At 31.4% G+C, this 22,429-nt stretch overlaps 1 protein-coding gene across 3 annotated transcripts in view, besides 1 other annotated feature; it reads right to left on the bottom strand.

Moving 5' to 3' along the window:
* BCHE (butyrylcholinesterase) overlaps positions 1–22,429 on the bottom strand; it is a 64,520-nt gene that overhangs the window by 32,537 nt on the left and 9,554 nt on the right. The window lies entirely within an intron of this gene.
* Positions 852–901: an enhancer, noted in NCBI's record as "active region_20770". NCBI's record gives its function as "activates an Ori minimal core promoter by ATAC-STARR-seq in GM12878 lymphoblastoid cells {active_cell/tissue: GM12878}" and the evidence as "EXISTENCE:reporter gene assay evidence [ECO:0000049][PMID:35858748]".

Consider the following 22,429-nt stretch of genomic DNA (forward strand, 5'->3'; position numbering starts at 1 on the left):
GTTACTAAAGGTTACTGCTAGGTTACACAAACCTGTTTCTGAAGGACTTTAAAACATGTTTCTTAGTGGCATACAATGTTTTGTTACATATTTTAATTCTTTAGCATATTTGCACACTCATATGCACGTAGGCAGATGGAAAGACATGTCTCTTCATATGATTCTGTAAGATCTGAGATACAGCACAGATGGATGATAGCAATAACCTAAATCATTAAACATAAAGATCATATTTTTAATCTTTACCAATCTTTTACTTTTATTTTTGTTAAACTTACTTTCTTTGCCTTTAGAAATGACACATTTCTTTTTCTAATTTTTAAAACACTTCTTCTTACTTTAATTTTCAGTCCGACATACGTTCTTAACTCATGAAATGGCCCTGGATATTGCTAAGTAAGAAAACTGAATAACATTCATTGATTTTCCTTTCTTCTCACACACTCTCCATATCTACCTGATTACCAGAGCTCATAGATAATATTCTCTGGACATCTGAAATCCATCCTCTGGCTTGTCTTTTCATTCCCAAAGTTACTCCCCAGTGTAGACCATTTGTATTGCTGCCCTGGAACACGACCATGTGTCTCCTCTCATTCTCCCTGTCAGCTTTCTTACTCTCTTCTATGCCATTCTCTCTTCTGCACACAAAATGATTTTTCTAAAATTCAAATTTGATAGCATTCTCCCCTCACATTAAAAAAAAAAGTTTTCACATGGTGCTCTTGGCACGTAATCTAAAACAAGCTTGGTTTACAAATGTACAGTCTGGTTTCTTCATAACTCCCCAGATTCATGTCTCCTCACACCTGCCTTTTTACTTTCTCTTTCTCTATCACCTCTCGGTCTTTGCCTGTACTGTTTCATCTTACCCCAAAACTTTTTATTTCTTTAAGAAAGGTTTCTATAAGCTTCTAAGACTGGACTGAGTTTCTCCTATGTTGTATTTCCCAAGCCTGTAGTTAATCATAGTATAGTTCTCATTATGTGGTTTGGTAAATTGCTTATTTGCTGTTATCTGCCAGCGGTAAGTGGTAACCTCAGTGATGGTAGGCCTGCATTTTACTCTACGATATATTCATACTGACTCCATAGCACCTAGCCCAGTGCCTGGCTCACAGTTGGTGCTCAATAAATATTTGTGAAGTGATTATAGTAAATCATACAGATGTGAGGTAACATTTAATATAAAATATCAGATATTTTATGATCATCATTTACATTCATAATGTTGGATAAAACCAAAAGGGATTAGAATCAGATACACAAATAATGGTGTAAACACATCTTTATAATAATAATTATATAGTTTTTTAAATCTGCCTAAATAATAGCCAAATCATAAATGAAGTATTATTCTAATTGTTTAATGGCCATATTTGGTTCTCTTTATGACAGTATTGAATGATTATGCAAAACTCAGTTATTAAATTAGAGAAAGAAAACAGCATGACCAGAACACTATAATCTTATAGAAACAATTATAAATCATGACACCGTGTCTTTAGGAGGTTATGTTAAATAAATACAATCAAAATCTCTAACTTTAAAACAACTATGATCGATCATATTTTCCTTAAGAAATTATTACTTTTTTGGGGGGTTGGTGGAGCGGAGTAGGAAATGTAAATGGTATCTAATTTTCATTTCCTTTTTAATTTTAGAGCTAAAATATTACAAAACTGAAGAAAATGTTTCACTGAGTTCTTCATGTTAATTCATTTAAATTTTTCACACTGGTATTTTTTATAAGTTCATTGCAAAAACCTTGAAGATTGAGGTAAATTATAATTGAATTATAATGTTTGTCTACCTTTCTGACATAATATGATTTTTATTTTTTCTGCGATCTCTCATGATAAAGGCCATTTTTAAAATCAAGTCATATTTTCTAGAACCTTATTTGTCTAATAAATTTCCTTAGGAAATATAAAGTTCTCCCTATTTAGAATACAATAATACTTTAATATACCTAAAACATAGTTGTTTTCAACAACCAGTTACCATCAGCGGCATAGTACACTCAGATATTTATTTAATAATGATTGAGATAAAGATAAAGAAATGTTATTATGAGATTTATTTATTTATTTATTTATTTATTTATTTTTATTTATTTATTTATTTTTCAGACAGAGTCTTATTCTGTCACCCAGGCTGGAGTGCAGTGGCATGATCTTGGCTCATCACTGCAACCTCCGCCTCCCAGGTTCAAGTAATTACCTTGCCTCAGCCTCCAGAGTACCTGGGACTACAGGCACATGCCACCACACTTGGCAATTTTTTTTTTGTACAATATTTTTAGTAGAGACAGGGTCTCACTATGTTGGCCAAGCTGGTGTTGAACTCCTGACCTCAAGTGGCCCACCGAACTGATCCTCCCATAATGTTGAGATTACAGGCATGAGCCACTACACCTGGCTGATGTATTTTAATGCAAAAATTATTTACTCATAGTGAAAATTGTATGCTTAACATTTGTTGATTTGAATTTCCTTTAATGGAAACTGACAACCTGGTATATTGTTGCTTGTTTTTTTTTGTAGTTGTTGTTGTTGTTTGAGACAGAGTCTCGCTCTGTCGCCCAGGCTGCAGTGCAGTGGCGCGATCTCAGCTCACTGCAAACTCCGCCTCAAGAGTTCACGCCATTCTCCTGTCTCAGCCTCCCGAGTAGCTGGGACTACAGGTGCCTGCCACCACGCCTGGCTAATTTTTGGTATTTTTTTAGTAGAGACGAGGTTTCACCGTGTTAGTCAGGATGGTCTCGATTTCCTGACCTCGTGATCAGCCCGCTTCTGCCTCTCAAAGTGCTGGGATTACAGGCGCGATATTGCTTGTTGTAAATAATGTTAAGTGTTCCAACTCCAGCTATTGAAAAACAGTGACAGATTCTAGTCATTAATTTATATATGCTGATGGAAAATAGATTTCAAGATTTATTTTAATATGTCAAATACATACCTAATTTTTGCATACCAGATACCTGTACCATATGAAAATAATGAGAAAGTCATATATTCCTTTTAGTAGCTGTTGATATGTTTAATTTGTAATACTTTAGTCACTTTTATGAACAAATGCTACATAATCTATGATGTTGTAAGATTAAAAATGTATTTTACTTGAATACCAATTTGGTTTTTTATAAACATGATAAATAAATATTTAATTTGAAACGCTATGACTATAGATCGGGTGAGGTGGCTCATTCCTGTAATCTCAGCACTTTGAGAGGATTGTTTGAGCTCTGGGTGGTTGAGGCTGAAGTGAGAGCCATGATTGCACCACTGCACCCCAGCCTGGGAGACAGAGCAAGATCCTGTCTTTTCAAAAAAAAGGCTGTGACTATACTGTGGTTACTTTATTTCTGACAACCAAAAAGACTAATTTTGAATCACATCTAGGTTGCTATAAATGTACTTCTAAAGAGCCATTCATATCTACAAAACACGGGCATATACTGCAGAAAAATGCTAAATATAATTTTCTCTCTGGATAAGTTAAGAAAGTAAAACATAAGAAAAAAGGAAACTATCAATTATGGAGTAATGTACTTACAGTTTTTATCCCTTTTGACTTTATATATTATATTAAGTTTAAAAAGTAAGAAAGCCAATGACTATGCTTACTTTATTTAAAAAGTAAATGATCCATATGTATTTCTCAAAATATTATTAAATTTTTTAATGGATATCATAATGTTATTTGGTATTTAGCTTATGGAAGAAAAAAACCGTTATGGACTTTCATGTTTCTATATCGCAAAAATGTTAATTTGTATTTTATGTGGTCCTCTTGAGGGATTGGATGGACAACATTAAGCCAATATAAGCAAACGTATTTAAATCCAAGTATAAAACCATAGCTAAACCCAACTTCCATGTGGTTTAAATTTTAAACATGTATGAGAGTTTTCAGCTTTTGTGAAAGCATTACACTATTGCCAAATTTGAATGTTCATGTGTTTTTTTTGTATGGCATTCTGAGTAAAACTTACTTATTGTATACTTTTAATGTTTTTATTATGCACTAAACATTTAGGATGAATGAGCAGATTTTAAATTTTGTATATGCAATGTGCATTAAAATGTTATTTCTCACTATGTATATGTCTATATAATCCTACATGTATAACTTTTTAGATCCATTGCACAAATTTATCATTTGTATTAAGGCAAATGTATTAAGGCAAATTGTATTAAGGCAAATGTTTGTGAGGTATATTTTACTCTAATAATTCACCCAAATTTCCATGCATTTTCATAACACAAGGGTAGCTTACTATCATAATATAGTACTCCCCAATGATAATGTACACAAATCCTCTAAGAGAAGTGTCATGGCTTTTATAATGATTAAACTTACAGTAATAGCAGCAGCTCACTTTAAGGATGTCTAGTACATCATTGTCTTAGTTAAATTTCTTCAACTGTCAACTTTTTAAAAAGTATTATCATACTAAGAATTATTTTATCACAGCTTATGGGAAAATGCTCCTATTTCCACTCTTTCGTTAGTATTTTACAGGGGTCAGTAGAATTTTACACATTCCTAGGAAACTTTTATATGTTTATTATTATTGATAGCATAAGTTACTATTAAAATTACTATTCTTAGTCATGCTTACTAAGTGACAGACAGATTGAAATAATTCTTTAACATCAGTTACAGAGTTGAGATTTATTTTGTAGACAAAGTAGTATGTTTCAGATAGGCTATCTTTTGCTTACTGAGTTTTTAAACATAAATATCTGATAACAAGTGTTAGTTATCTTCAGTTACACCCAGTGTGAGGTAAGGATATTCTTCTGTTCAAGTTGTGATATTCTAGCAGCAGATTCTAGTTCACAGAAAGTGTCTGTGAAAGTTTTCCATATTATCCCTCCTAGGAAGATTATGCCCACTCAAAATATCTCAATAGACATTACATATGGTGTTCCAGAAGAATGCAGATTCCCAGCACATCCATTTCCTTCCTGTGTGTGCAGATAGGCGTATTTTAAGAGATTCACTGAGTACTTTGCATGGATTCATCACTTAACATTGGTTCTTATTTTATCTTTGGATGTGTTATTTTATTGCCAGATTTCTACACTGAGGCTAGGCTAGGATATTGTGCCAGCCAAATCATCTACTAAAGGCATGACAAACATGATAGGAAATATGAAAACAAACACCACTAGTCGACGTGCTGCTGGGAGTGGGGATGCATTGTGTTCGTTAGCTCTGTTTTGGGGCTATCTGGAGAATTAAGTTCCTCCATTTGAAATGAATGGTAAGTTTTTCAACATTGGCTTCCTTAGCAGTGTTTGAGGTAAGCTTGCTGTTACTCTTTCATTTTCTTTCAAAATATTTTGGTCTTTAGTATACTGTTAAATGAAGAACTGGTGTGGTGCTTTCATCTCAAAGGACACACCATGACATATCCAGCTGATAAAACTGATGGGGAACTTTTCTAAGAACAGAGGTTTGGCTCAAGATTAATATATAACAACTCTAACTAAAATACGTAGTGGAGTGAAGTATCCTTTTTCTTCTACATCTTATTGGAGTTATACGTTAAATTGACTGAAATTTATTGCACAGTGACGATACAAGTAGAGCTGCATTACCTAATTGATATTTAAGACGCAAGAAATCTTTATTTTAAAAAATCAGTCATGAAAATAGCAGCAATGTTATATTTTAATTAGTAGAATATAAACACCCAAGAATCGAAACTATCTTGCTCAGAAGTGAAAAAGTAAAATTATAGGTGAATTTAAAATTGAGGATTAGACCGCTCCATTTTGTAGGCAGTTAGACTCTTGACAGAAAGGTTAAATTTAGAAATGATCTCTACATATGCAGGTGCATGTTTAAGGCTTCTTCTATCTGAATTTACATTTGATACCTAAGGAAACCAGGCTGATAAAAAAGTGAAAACATCCTTACCTACATATTCATGGATGGATAACAAGTTGTATGTAGATGTGCCTAAGAGAGCAGTGTAAGTGTGTGTGTGGAATGAAAGAATGTGTGATAAATGAAAAAATAATAAAATTATTTTAAACATAAGGGAGGTTTTGCATGAACAGACAATGGTAATGCTCTAGGAATAACTGAATTCTCTGTGTCTACCAAAAAACACTGAACTGACAAAAATTGATTTGCTCTTAGAAAATTCTATTTTTGGAATTCTGTTCTCAGTATTACATTTTTAATTTATAAATTTCAAATAAAACAATATAATAATTTAGAATAATATTTCCTGAGCAAGATGATAGTGTACACAGATAACCATAGTTTTACCTTCCTAATGCATAGAGTTAGAGCCTAAACACAGAAATATTATTAATAATAAGTACTGAGCCCAGTGAGGATTAAGAAATAATAATCAAAACAGTAAATTTAGAGTGACAAGGTAGCTAGGTGGTCTAGTAAAAAGAAATGGGCTTTGGTGTCAGAAAGACTTGGATACAGAAGCCCATTTCAAAGCATATCTAGCCTTTTGACTATTTTTACTCCTTTTGTTCCTTTCTGTCCGTCTCATCTTTCAATCTCCAGAGATTCCTTTTAGTGTAGATTAGTTCAAGCTCAAAGTATCTGAAGGCTGTATACTAAAGACTGTGAATACTGACCTTCAAGAACAGACGGAGGACCACCTGAATTACATCAGGAATAAACAAGTTTATATACATAAATGTTTTTGCATTCTCAATATTTTAGTACCAACTCTAAGATATACAATTTTATCAGTAGCTGAACAGTTTGGAAGTACTAAAAATACTATTAATATCCTTATCCAACTATTTCTTAGACATCAATCTATCAATGGAAAAAAAAATGGATCTCATGAGTCTTTGATTTTTTTTTTTGAGGTCCCACTACGTTTATCATGTATTTTATCAAATCTTTATCACACAGTTTATCAAGTATTTATCAACATTTTTACTCTATATATAATTTTAGACATTATCTATTCTTATTGGCATGATAATCTAACCATTTATTTTGCATGTTACACATAGGGAAACAATAAAATGATTTTAGTATACTTTCAAACAAATGGAGTGTTCCATGCTTAAACTGGATTTAGCATGGGCATTTACAATTTTCTGTATAATCACATCTTTATTTCATTTGAAAATTTATCTCTTGTTTGTATTTAGAACTCAACTACTGTAGAACAATAGAAAAATAAAAAAAAGAATTAAATATTTTACATAAAAATTTCCATGTTGTTTTTCATTGCCAGTGGCATAATTGTTATTTACTTGGGCTGTATTTTAATGTGGTAGTTTCTCATAATGAAAAAGGCTTCAATATTCTCTCAAAGAAAGCATAATACAGTGAATATGCATATACTCTAATCGTGTGTGAGTATTGGAGAGGTGCTTCCTTAAATGCCCCCTCAGATATGAAAGTATAGTCTGGTCATTAAAGGACTGGGGTCCATAGCAGTTTACACCAGCATTAGTTCTTCCAGAATTTTTTTCTATACCTCTTTCTCTGTGTCCTCATTGAAAGCTACTATAAATGTTCAATATCCTTCATAATGCAATAGGATTTTTACATTTTTCTAATTACTCTATCATCATTACTTTTGGTTTGAAGCATTCCATGAGAGTCCTTTTTTTTCCTATCAGGATAATTGTTTAAAACTTTTTTACCAGAAAAAATATCATAAAATTAGAGACTACTGTGGATTTAGCAAGAGAAGTTGCAAAATTATAATAAACAGTGCTCTGAATCATACTATTAAATAAGACTACTTACCAATAAAATTTACAAGATAATTTAATATGTAGTTGAAATCTCTCTATTGCTGAATGAATTTTTATATTATGCTTAGGTATTAAGTAATCAAATCATTAGGTTTACTATTTTATAATAATCATATATTTTATACTCATATTTTCTTCCTTATTAAATGAATAATATCTCGTTCTAAAATTACTAAATATTGCATTTTCATCATCTTATTCTTTTCCATTTGTAGATATTTGATTATGTGTCTATATCTAAAGTAGGTTCAAACCTCTGGTTTACCAATATTTTGTAAAGTCAATGCTATTTACAAAATAATATTTATTCTTTTTGAAATCTCATTGAAAAGTTTATTACAAGCATACTGTGTTACAACTGTGATTGAACTTATCATTTCGATTCCTTTACTTCAAAATCTTTTCTAGTCCAGAAAAGAAGGAAAAAATGTTGAAACACAATAAAAATAAACGTATGAGTTAAAAGCATATTTTCTGCAGAAATTTCAAGGATAACAAAGGACAATTATAAAGGTTTAATTTTATATTTAGTAGATAATCATTTATCTGACTCTAATATTATTTATTCTTTATATATAAATGGTCTGCATTGTACTAAAGGAAGATAAATAATGTAATTAAATTAAGAAAGATAAAAAACAACCAGTTCAGCTATCACCTATAATTTAAGGTAGAGATTTAAAAAAAGTCTTAATTTACATATACTCTAATGTAAGTCTGAGTAACTAACAGAATATCTGACGCCAAAGTTGATGGAGAAAGCAAGATTAGGATTTGTACATCCCAGAAATACAGTAATTTTTCGTAAGTGTTAGGTTTCTTTGACTTCCACAATGATTTCATTATAATAAATATAGGTAGTATCCCTCATATTACGATATCTGAATTAATTGTATACTAAGTATATAAGATTATTGTTAGTAAATTTAGTAATAAATAATTTGCACATGAAATCTGAGATTGCAGTCTAGTGCTGTAAATAGAATTAGTTTAAGGTTTTACAAATAACACATTTTCTGGTTTATGTTATTCTCCTCTCATTCTCTATTTCAGGGTTCATTAATATGATTCAAAATTTTTATGACTACCTTCTTTGAAATATTTATTCTCCAGATGTTACCATTTTTTTAAGAAGATAAAATGAAAGAAAAATCCAAAGCAATAAAATAAATGCAAATACATAGTTATAGCTTTAGAGATTCAGGTTAAAGGAGAAGGCAAGTTTATTTTAATCATAATGTTAATAGTTTAGTTTTTGCTCTTATGATGTTAATCCTTACTTTCCTCAGCTCACTAATACTTACTGGAAACCTGAAACGTGCATGCTGAGCCCTGCCTAGCCAAGGGCCAATCTTCAGGAATTCAGCCAAATCTTAGAAATGCAGCTTGTCCCTAGAGTCCCCATTTTCCAACACTTGCTGGCCTGATTTCTTTTCTGCCTACCAACTCCTGGGCCCTTTGCTGAACTTCTCTAAACTTATGTCTGACATACTTTTCAGCTTTTGTCAAAATTTTGTTCCTTGGGGCTACTTCCTAGTCTCTTTAGTCCCTAACTTGCAGTTAGGTTTACCAGATTTAGTGAAAACAAAGCAAAACACCCAGTTAAATGTGAATTCCAACTAAAATACAAATAATGTTTAGTATAATTATGTCCCATCAGACGTATGGGTCATATTTATACTAATATATGTTAGAATTAGTATTATATTTATACTAATTTTTAACTTATACTAATATTTAATTATAAATTTTATATCTATAATATTAGTGTTAGTAAATATTTATAATTAAATATTAGTATTAGTATTATATTCATACCAATATATGTTAGTATTAGTATCATACTTATATATTTAAAACAATGTATATTACATATATATATTCCTGGTTTAGCTTATTTTTCACATTTAACTGAATGTCCTGTATTTTATCTGGCAATATTACTTACAGTATGTATCTGGAATAATGTCAGGCATATTACATATAGTTTCTCAAATTTCCATAACAGCCAAGGAGATAGGTATTAACACTTTGATTTTAGAAAAAAAAAAAAAAATAAGGGCAAAGGAGATTGAATTCTTGCTCTTTTCCTTCCCTAGTGGTACGCAAAAATTCTAATAGAGAGGGAGCAAAGTTTAGGGAAGATGGATCTGGGTTCCTCCATCACACCACAAAGTTCAATTTGGAGTTCCGGTTTTCACTGATAGCTGTGGAATTTTGAGTAGCTTCAGCTCTGTAAGCCTCAATATCCTTATCAACACCTGTTGAGGATGATGATACTTCTTTAGAGAATTGCTACAACCATGAAAGTGAAGTCCTGAGCAGGGAGCTAGCAAATGTTAGCAATAGCTAGCAAATGTTAGCAATAATAAATTTAATTGATGTAATTTTTAATATTATAGATTTAAAATTATGACTCCAAAGGCTACCTGGTCAGTACTTTCTTTAGAATATCCTGACTATACAATAGGCTAAATTATTATTATTCTTTACATATTACATAAGAAGTATATTCTTTAAGGACAAGTATTTTTATTACTACATATTCATTATATTTTAACAGATTAATTTTCTATTAGACATTACATAATACTTCTATGAATGTTCAAGGACACACAGAGAGCAGCACGTACATGTTTTGTGGTCTAGGGTCAATATTTTGTCACTACTTATACCAGGTTGCTTATGAGAAGTTATTTTCCCCCGCTTTCTTGTCATGCAATTAGACTGTGACCTCTCAGTTCTATTGTAAGGTTACTTGCCTTCTGCCTATGCCTTCTTAGAAAATTGTTGTTTCTGATTTGTCTTTCATCAAAAAAAAATCAATGAGTAATTCTCTTAAAATTTAGGGCACAGTACAAGTCAATAGGTTTCAATATGACCTTTTCTATGGAATACATATCAAAGAAACATTTGTCATACTTTTTTGATGTTCAGAATATCTAGGATGTTGTCTGTTTTTCTCTTTGCTACCTGTCTCTTGATTCCTTTTATTTTAGATCCACATAGTCTTAATTACTGATGACCTAAGTTCTAACCAAGTGGTTTGCATTGTATTTATGAGGATAGTTTTCTATAAGGAAAGTAAATAAAATTAAGTAGATAGAGTTGATGATTACACAAAACCAGATTAATCATTATAATCACTGTACCATTCCCATCAGTTCACAATCATGTTGCAATATTCCCCATGAAAAAGCAAGGCCAATCGAAAACACCTCTACCCTCTCTTGTCCAGCCATCCCCTGAGTTGACTTCCCTGATCCACTTTAGAGTAATGCTCTTTGAAAGAGTTGCCTCAAATTGCAATTACTGATTCCTCTCCTCTCATTCTCTTTTGCATCTCTATTAAGGTTTTAGTTCCCACCATCCCATCAAAACACCACATCTTTGCTACCAATATGTCCACATTTCCAAACCCACAATCATACACAATTTCACATAATTTTCTTTGTACTCATTCTATATTCTATACGGATACTCCTTTCCTGAAATATTCTCTTTATTTAGTCTTGAGTGGATACCATGTTCTCCTAGTTGCCCTCCAATTCATTTGGCTACTCCATTCTCTCTCTACAGTTTTTTCTTCCTCCTCCCTCCCTCTAACCTTGAGGTGCTTAGACATGTGTTTTATCTAAAACCTCCGTAAGTGAAATAAACCTGTCTCATAGCTTTAAACACCATCTTCATACTTTTAGATACCAAATTTATAGCCCCTTTTTCTCCCTTGAATTTCAGATGTCTTGGCACAATAAAAATTTAAATATGAATTAAACAATTTAATTTAAATATTTCTGGAAAAACAGGTCCCTTAAACTTGAAATGTCTGAAATAGAACTTTTGATTTCACTCTCCCAACCATATCCTCCAATAGTTGTTAATATCTCAGGAAATGTTACCTCTACTCTTCTGGTGGCTCAAATAAAAAATTTTGCAGTGTAGTATCCTTGTCCCAATTTATTCTCTTATATTCCACATCCAATATCTCAGCAAATATTGTCAGACCTTCCTTCAAAGTATAACCTGATTCTGATCATTTTTTCCCACTTTTACCTAATCTATGATCATTTCTCAACTGGATTGCTGTAATAACCTCCTAGTTCTTCTGTACACTTCATGCTTGTGTACCTACCAGTCAGAGATTTCTTTATAATGTTTGAGCCAAAATATGCTACTCAAATTCCTGAATATTTCATAACTAAATGTCTCACTCAGGAAAGATTTCAGAAACTCATCCAAGCTTCAAATCATATATCTTGGCTCTTTGTACTTCTCTGACCTTACCTCTTATCACTTCCCCTTCACATACCTATTCCAGCCGCACTATCTTTCTTGCTGTTCCTGCAACATCCCAAATACTTTAGTCTTAGAGGTTGTTCTCTCTTCTGGGAAAATTTTTCCCCAGATATTCACATGATTTACTCTGTCCCTCTATTTTAATAGAACTTTGTCAGAAGCTTTACGTGACCGCCTTACAAATGATAACACATTCTATCTGCATCTTGCTCTATGCTTCTGTGTTTTATAGTTTTTCCAGAACTCTCACCATGATAACACACAAATATATTTGAAAGCTCACATGCATCAAGCATTATTGAGGTAATAGGGATGCAGCAGTAAACACAACATAAATAGGCAAAGATAACAAAGCAAATAAAAAACAGTGAGGCATGGAGAACAGAGAGAAAATCTTTACCCTCAAAGGCCTTACAATCTAAAGAAGGAAAATTGCAGCAGGTATAATTTCTTAAAACTCATCAATCTGACCATAATTATTTTATACTGAAAAGTATTATTTAATAACTTGTGATTTTAAAAGCAGTGTACCTTGGAAACAATCTCATGACTTTCATTCAAAAATGTCTATCTGAGGGAATGCTGAAGAATCAGAAGCATCTTGTTTTATTAAATTTTATACTGCTTTATAATTACAGCTACAGGTAAATTGTTATGATCAAATTTATTTTTCACATTTTATATAAATACATAATTACAAAATATGAAACAAAGCATATAATATAAACTATAAAATAAATAAATAGATTTTGAAATTAGAAATTATAAAATGTCATTTTGGATAAAGTTTACCTAGTACACTGAGAATGGTAACTTCATAAGGAGGATGAGACATATTTCTGCCAACAATATATTCTTATATTTAACTACTGTTTTTCTGATTTTAGGACTACTAAAGCATTATTTTAGGTACCATAATTTAAAATATCATTTTTAAATCAAGACATGCAGGTGGAAAAATTAACCCACAAAAATTAAAAATTAAAAAATTAAAGACAAATGTTAGTTGTGTGACCTAAACTTTCCAATCATCAGTAGCTTTCTTTGTAAAATAGGGATATTAATGCATTTTACACAGAGTGGTTGTAAAGACTACATGCAAAGTCTATCTGGAATATTTAGACTCTTGCTTGGATCTTACTGAAACATCTAGTAAATGGAAACTACCAACACGAAGATCATGAAGCAGAGGAAGAGACGTTAGTGAAAAGAACAACAATACCATCCTATTACCAATCTAGTTGTTGCTTACAGACTTATCTATAGGTATACCCAGATCTATTTGCATCTACAATAAAATACATATATACGTATTATTCACTGGGCAAGTTTTCACAATAACCATGTGAGGAAGGTTTTATAAGAGAAATAGAGACATAGAGGGAACAATTAACTTGGCAACTATGTGGCAAACATGGCTTCAAAATCAAGCTATTTTCCTCTAATGCCATGCTCTTTTGATGCATCATGCTATGTTGGAAATTCAATTAAAAGTCAAGGCCTTTCTTTGGAGGTGAAAAAATAAACAAAAAAATTAATTCTTAAGTACTGTGTGTTTAGGTTTTTAACTTCTTTTTTTTTTTTTTTTCTCCTGAGACAGAGTTTTGCTCTTGTTGCCCAGGCTGGAGTGCACTGGCACAATCTTGGCTCACTGCATTCTCTGCCTCCTGGGTTCAAACGATTCTCCTGCCTTAGCTTCCAGAGTTGCTGGGATTAAAAGCGTGCACCACCACACCCAGCTAATTTTTGTATTCTTAGTAGAGATGGGGTTTACCATATTAGCCAGGCAGATCTCGAACTCCTGACCTCGGATGATCCTCCCGTTTCGGCCTCCCAAAGTGCTGGGATTACAGGCATGAGCCACCATGCCTGGCCTAGGTTTTTAACTTCTAACTGGGATTATTTCAACATTTTTAGAATTAAAAGTAATTAAAATAAATAGTATTACATCTCTTAAAAGTGTTTATAATTTAAAAAATTATCATTCCAATTCTTTTCTAGGAAGTACATTCCTTCATAAATGCATTTACCAGTAAGTGACACTACTTTTTATATGGTTTATACAATGAGAAGAGTGTTAACCACAAAATAGTTTTTAATCAACATACTTATTTATTTTAAGGCTCTATCTGTTTTGCTGCTACCACTATTTTCTTTTATGCTGTTAACCTTGTCTTCTGTGTTTGTAGTTTTAAAAATATTTTAGGTGTGTTTCTGTTCTTATGTTTTTGCTAAATTCAATAAATAATCATTAGCCTGAGTCATATCTGATTGTGGAACAGAAAAACTCCATACAGAAAAATATATAAATTCACATTTTATTTACTATGTTTTGTTACTTTGCAATATTTAAGCTATTATTTCTGACAGGTCTTTTGAAGCATTACATCTGTGTGTACATTCCTGAAATTATTACTTTGATTTCTAAAAAAATGATTTATTAATATTAGACTGAATTTAATATGTACAAGTGGACTGAATGTTATACTTTTTCCAACTAAAAAACATGTGCAGAAACATAGAAAACAAATCAGGTTATTTCCAAGTAAATCGATCCTATAAATGAGATTTTCCATGTTTTAATGAGCCATTTTATACTGAGTGCATTAGTTTTTTTCTGCTGCACTGCGAGAGAGTATTCTGAAATACTTGATCAAACATATCTCAGTTTTATAGCTCTCTTTGTAGATTTGCCCCTTTGGGGGACATCGGATTTCTCTATCTCATTCCACTGTCATTCATTGAAAAATATTGCTGCACTCTGAAATGGTTCTGAAAGTGATCTTATATACACTTTAAATTGTCTCATAACACAATTATTTCTTTTCAAATACATTACACTAATGGGTATCCATTTTTTTTAAACCTACATTTATATTCTATCTGTTAAAATTAAGGTAAGTTACAGGAATACTACAGTTGGCATTTTTGCCTTATTCTTTTCTGAGTAACTCCTAAATTAATTTCTAAGGAGAAAAAAAGATTTAAAGTGATAGAACATTGATGCTGTTATGATAACAATAAAATAAATCCAAGGGGATTTAAGCCCTGATTCTTTTTTAAAGTCATGAAAATGTTCCATTGGGTTAATTATGATAATATACCACAAATAATTGTAGAATCAGAGGGTAAGAATTTTTCTCTTCACTCTGGAAGCCACGTGAACTATTATCTGTCGGAAAATCTAATTATAAGTCTGATAATAATTGGACTAGATGGCCAGATGACAGTCTCACAAACTTAAACTTGCCTCTAAGTCTCATGATGTCTAATTTTAGTCTGTTCTCTGCCCTTACCTCTATAACATTAACCAAGCAGGTATAAGCATGCTAACATTTAAAATTACAAGTTTACAACCAAATGCATTTTGTAAGCATACTTAATGACTGCTTTTAAGAATTCATGGTGAAGGCAGCCTGGCGAATGTATAATACAAGGAAATGAAAGTTAATAGCCTTGAGTCACAGTTAATCATTGTTCTGTCACCTGTTAGTTGCAATTCACTTTTCTTCTATGGAACACAATTTTCTCACTTAAAAAAGTTAGATAGTCTCATCATTTCAGCACTTTAAAATTCTAATAATAGAATGCATATACCTCACACCTTGTCATTGTGATAGTACACTGTTCATGTTAAGAGTATCTTTAACTGATATTATTTTGATATATTGAAGAGACCTCTAAGAATTGTATTGTGGTAAAGTTCTATAATATTTATTAGTTGAAAAATATAACAAAAAGTAAATTCAATTATAATTTGGAAATTAATTTCTTGGTGAAGGGATTTGCACAAATACTATATAATAAGTATAAATATATGCTAAATTCCTATACAGACATTTAGAATGAAGTAGCACGATTTCTCCATCCATAATTTCTTTGACCTTTCCCCAGTTTTTCTGTTGTCATTTAAAAACATGGAATGATTCCAATTAAAAAAAAAGAGAGAGAGAGCGCACCAAGAAAATATACCCATTTGGGAAATAAGTGATGTTAAAATACTGTTATTTCAATCCATTTTTTACTGTGTCATATAAAAATATACAAATTAAATGCTAAATATTAAATTAAAATTACATTAAAAACATTAGAGAACAAATTATTGAGTGTATTTCAGGTACTTTAATGACGTTATGGCCATCTGTATGGCCACCCTTCCTTCAGTGTGGGTGTGTGTATCTCAAATCAGAAACAAAATTGATTCCTTTAGGAATCTGTCAAATCTGCAATTTCTGATTATTACAATTAAAATTTAGTAAAAAGATGAATATCTATTTTCAAATTGTCCCAATCATTTTAAAATACCTTGTGTATTAACAGCATTTGGCTTAGCATGTAATTGTCTTACCCACTCCCCATTACAAAAATCAAGAACTGTTCTCATTTACTTTTTTCCAGATCAGTTAACTTCAGTGGTGAAAAATGTATTAATACATTTTTGTTCAAGTTTAATAAATTGCTCATTCTGTGATAAATTTCCTTAAAGTGTAAGGGAATAAATAATAAATAAAATATTATGATATGAGAATAGCAGCATGTGTGCTGTGATGTTACTTCCAAATTACTTTGTTAAGTAGCTTGTGATTTTATGATATCAAAACAGGACAAAATAAAAGTGACATGTCAGAACATTTATTCCTGGCAAAAAAGCATTAGAAAATATTAACCATTTCAGAGAGGTTCTGAATAAATAAATGATAAATAAATAAGAGGCTATGAATGAATGAATGAATGAAAAAGTATAGAAGCAAGTAAATTGCCTCAATATTAAAGTTTACCTTTATTTGAAAGCTTAGTTGATTAATTAAGTAGTTTTGAGTCAGGAAATTAAACAATTGTACTTTTTTTGGTGTGGAAGCTAAGTTTAATCTTAGATGAGAATAGAGCATGAGGAAGAACTGACTTTTTTAAATAGAGAAGTGGAATACAATTTTCTGTCAATGACAAGTTTTAATGGCAATGAGAGAGTTATATTTATATTCCCATTTTACAGATAAGAAAAAAATATCAGGGAATTTTAAGTAGCTTACCTAAGTTTACATATACAAAGGATCTGTAAAAAGATTGACACTGGGAACATTACATTGGCTGTCACACATGATCTGGAAGGCTGTGTAACTGCACTGTGAATGGTTCTCTCTGAGATTTTACACTGAAGAAGCTCTGAATGAATACAGCACCAAGGGAGGATATTGTAAAGAAAAGATCATCTGCAAGAGTAGAAAGAAGCTGGAGGGGTTTTGAAATAATGATAACTTCCATTTTATACTATCTTACTAATTACATTTGGCATATTTTCCTTCTTTAGTGCTCTGGTCTTTCTCATAACCCAAGTTTAATTTCACCAATTTTCTGTACCACTGGGATAGTATTGACAACATTTCATTAAGTTCTGGTTGACTTAATTTTTTTCGCTATCAAGTTATTTCTTGGATGGGTGATTGGTAGACGTATTATGTTGTACTGATATTTTCACATATATTATAATATAAAAGACATAATGCACATATAGACCTGTGTGTTATTTAGGTAAAATTTTAAGTTCATTTCTACAGGTAGCATTAGAGGAAGAACAAAACGAAGTAAAATATGTATAGGTAGCAATTCCAGTTAGCAAAGGCCTAAATTATATTATGACTTCTATTCTGTAAGAAATCTTAAAACACTGAAACCAAAGACATCAAATTTGCATGTCCTTTAGTGCTAGCTCAAAATAACCTTTAATTTTATTAAGAAATCAAATTTAAAAATCTTGTATCTCTTTGATAATTTATAAAGTAACTGAAAAATGAGTTTTATATAACTGAATGAGATCTATAAATGTTAAGATGCCCTTAAAATACCAACGGAGAGGAAAGTGTTGGACTTTCACCTTCATCCATGATAAGGTGAGATTAGCCTTCTCATCATAAACAATTATAATACTGGACAGAACAAACAAGGCAATGAATTTCAGAAACTGGATAATGGGCAATGCAAACCTATGACAGTTAAGAAAAGGGGAATGCCAATTGATAATGGAATAACTGGAAAAATAATCCTTGAAAACTATAACCTATCACTACTGAATCAAGAAGGAATAGATGTCTAGATAGCTCTATGTCCTATGAAGTATTATATTTATAATAAGATATTTTCCCATAAGGAAAACTCCAGATCTAAGTGGTTTCATTGACGAAATATGTTAAATATTTAAAGACTTAAATAATCCCAATGGTTTGCAAACTAAAAAATCTTGAAGCAGAAGGAAGATTACTACATATTTTTTTTCTCAGAGAGGAGATCTGTTCTGTCACCCAGACTAGAGTGCAGTGCCCTGATCATAGTCCACTACAGCCATGAATTCCTGGGCTCAAGTGATCCTCCTGCCTCGGCCTCCCATGTAGCTGAGGCTACAGGTGTGTGGCACCATACCCACCATACCCAACCAACTTTTTTTTTTTTTTTTTTAATGTAGAGATGGACTCTCTCACTTTGTTGCTCAGGCTAGTCTATAACTTTGGGCTTCAAGCAGTCCTCCTGCCTTGGCTTCCCAAAGTGGTGGGATTACAGGCATGAACCACCATGTTCAGCCTAAGATTATTCTTACATGAAAGCTTTACAAAGAAATTAAAATAAACAAAATTGTATACTTATATTTTTCATGAATAAGAGGAAAACATCAATAAATTATATTATTATTAGAAAACAATATAAAAATATATTAAAATGACACTATATTATGATAAAGTTGTTTTTATTCTAGGAATGCAAGATTGTTTTAATATAATTCACCACACTAACAAAATTAATGAGAAGACAAAGCAACAAAAATATGATGGTCCTTTCAATAGAAGCAGAAAGAGCATTTGTCACAATTTAATATCTATTTATAATAAAGACTCTCAAGAAATAGGAATAGAAGAGAATTTCCTAAATTTGACGAAGGGCAAAACTATAGTTAATATAGACAATACCAAAATTGTGAACTCATCCCTCTAAGATTTGAAACTATATGCTCCACATCTATTATTTAATATTGTGCTAACAATCCTAGAGAATGCAATAACAAAATCATCAAGAAAACGATAGATATAAATATTGAAAAGGAAGAAGCCAACTGTCCCCCATCATTCACAGAAAATAGCTTATTTAACCCCCAAATTAAAAAATTGATAAATCTACCAAACTTTATAAGTGAAATTAGCAAGCTTGCATGACGTAGAAAATCAAGTGTATATTTAGATACTAGCAAAATCTAAATTTTAAAATACATAAAACTGTTAGGGATAAATTTAGTTAAATATATCCAAGGACTGTACATGTAAAACTTTTAAATATTTATATAAATTAAAAAATAACAAAATAAAAGGAAAGGTATACCATATTCATGGATTTAAAAGCAGTAATGTTAATATGAACATTCTCTTTACATTAATCAATCATTTCAACACCTAATCAGCTTTTGTGAAAACTGAGAAGCTGATTCTAATCTTTATTTGGAAATGCAAAACTAAAATAGACATAACTGTTTTTTTTTCAAATCAAAAGTTTTGTTTGTGAAAACATAGTGTACTCCTTTAAACTCTCCAATTAAAAAAATACTGTGTAGACATACTATATAAGACACTCCAGTACTGGCATAAGAATAGACATGAGACCATTTAGTGGGACAGAATAAAATGTACTCATTCATATCCACACGTATATGGTCAGTTGATTTTCAAGAAAGTAGCCTAAGTAATTTAGTAAGTAAAGAAGTGTCTTTTCTAAAGAATAGTGATGTAGTATCTGAATATTTATATGGGAAATAATGAACCTCAATGCCTACATTAAAAGTTCACAGATATGAATGTAAATAATATTATGAATCAAAAGTAAAAAGCTAAAACCATAAAGCAAGAAGAAAACAGAAAAAAAAACCAGTCTTCACAAATGTTGGTGTAGGGAAATATTTATTTGATAAGATGGAAATAAATTAATAAGCTGAGATTCATTGAAATTCAACATTTTAAAAATCAAAGTAAGATATAAACTGGGAGAAAATATTGAAAATACATAGGATATGTATCTTTTTATATTTATTGTACTTTAAGTTTTAGGGTACATGTGCACAACGTACAGCTTAGTTACACATGTATACATGTGCCGTGTTGGTGTGCTGCACCCATTAACTCGTCATTTAACATCAGGTATATCTCCTAATGCTATCCCTCCCCGCTCACCCCACCCCACAACAGGCCCCGGTGTGTGATGTTCCCCTTCCTGTGTCCATGTGTTCTCATTGTTCAATTTCCACCTATGAATATAAGAATTCTTACAAGTCAATGAGAGATAAACCCAATAAAAATTGGCAAAAGACTTAAACATTTCAAAATAGAAAAAATACCAATGACCAGTAAGCATAAGAAAAGATGTTTCACATCTATATCCATCAGATAGAAACAAAGCAAAAGCACAATGAGATGTCATTACAAAGCCAGAAGAACAGCTAAAATTGAAGATTGATTAGTTGCAAGTGATGCTGAAGATGTGAAACAAGTGGGGCTCTGGTACATCACTGCTTTTGGGAGTATAAAATTCTCAACTAAGGAAAATAGTTGAACAGTTTCTTTAAAAAAAATAAGCATGTGCTTATATGTGTTCCTGCAATTCCTCTCACTTTTTACTCAAAATAAGAGAAAAAAAACATCTTCTACAACAAGACAAAAGTCTTCCAGAAAAATATTCGTAGAATGCTAGTCATAATATCCCCAAAAGGAAACAACGTATGAGTGAATGGATAAACAAGTAGTGGTACAATCATCCATAGGAAATAGCACTTAGCAGTGAATAACAAATAAACTACTTTACACATACAACACAGATGAATTGCAATTCTATTATGCTGAGCAAAAGAAGCGAGACACAAGATTATATAGGCTATGATACCATGAATATAAAGCTCTAGAAAAGGTAAAACTAATCTATAATAAAAATAGAATCAGTGATTGACTGGACATGGGGAGTAAGATGGCTGTTTGCAAAGAGGTGGGGGGGGACTTTATTCTGAGGCAATGGAATTATGCTTTATCTTTATGGAGTTGTACATATTGGTAAAAATTTACTGATCTTTATGTTTATTGTGTATATTTTTACAGTATGTACATTATATTTCAATGAAGATTATAAATAGTAGACATAGATTTACTAATTAAGAAGAATTTATTAAAACATTTCATGAATCATGAACTTGAAAACTCATTTTCCTAAATGATAATTACAGCTCCAATTCTACTTTTACTTCCTTAATAAGACATTTTGAAGTTCTGAGGAAGTAGAGACTAGAAGAGTTTCTCAACCTTGGCATTATTTACATTTTGGAATGAATAATTATATCATTGTGGAATGCCGCCGTGTGCATTACAGGGTGTTTAGCAGCATGCTGGGCCTTTACCTTGCTGGTATCATCTGTTTCCCTAGTACTGACACTCAAAAAGGGCTCCAGACATTGTTAAATGTCATTGGTGGGTAGAAAGAAAGGGGCCTAGGAGGAAAGTCTTTGCCCTTGGAAATTACAGATTTGGGACATCAAGTCTGTGGTCAGAAAGATGTGGATAGATTTCCAGACCTAACAGTTATCAACTTTGTTTCCACTGCCGTTCACTTAATTATTCAAAGCTTCTATATTAATTCGCATGTATACTTTGAAAGTAGATAACGAACATCAGGATATTAACATTATGCTTGACATCAAATCAACCCTTAACACAAATATATAATGTTATTATCTCTGTTCAACTGTGCAAATATCGTCTGCAAATAAAATTACTAAAATAACATCTTGTTATTGCCACACTACTTTACAGTTTAACTCTTTATAGCTTATGATCTCCATGACATATATGTATTATTATTATTAAAATGTCAATTTTTATTTATTTCCCATTATAAGGTTAATATTAAATAACCTTATTAATTAATTAATAATTAAATAATTAAGTATTAAATAATCCTATTAAGTGTCAAAGATTTTCTTCTTTGGTCTGTTATATGGGTGCCATAAACAAGGCATTTAACACATCTGATTCTTTGTGTTCTCCATTGTGAAATGAGAAAATATAAATTCCTCAATGATTGCAACATGCAAAAAAATGAAGTCCTTTGAAAAGTTTAGGTTTCAATAATTTCAAAAATCATCCTTAAATCCTTAAATGATTTACAGTTCCTAGAATTTAAAGAAAGAATTAAAAACATATATAAATGATGTAATATGGATAAAGTCTTGAGGGAGAGAGCAGAATGAGATATAAGTAATTCTAATACACCTCTAAAAATAAGCTGATCGTTCTTTCCTTGAGCAGAAATTTATGCTGATGTTGAGAAGGAATAAAATATTTTACAGCTAC

Source organism: Homo sapiens, chromosome 3, assembly GCF_000001405.40.
Source record: "Homo sapiens chromosome 3, GRCh38.p14 Primary Assembly".
Lineage (NCBI taxonomy): Eukaryota > Metazoa > Chordata > Mammalia > Primates > Hominidae > Homo > Homo sapiens.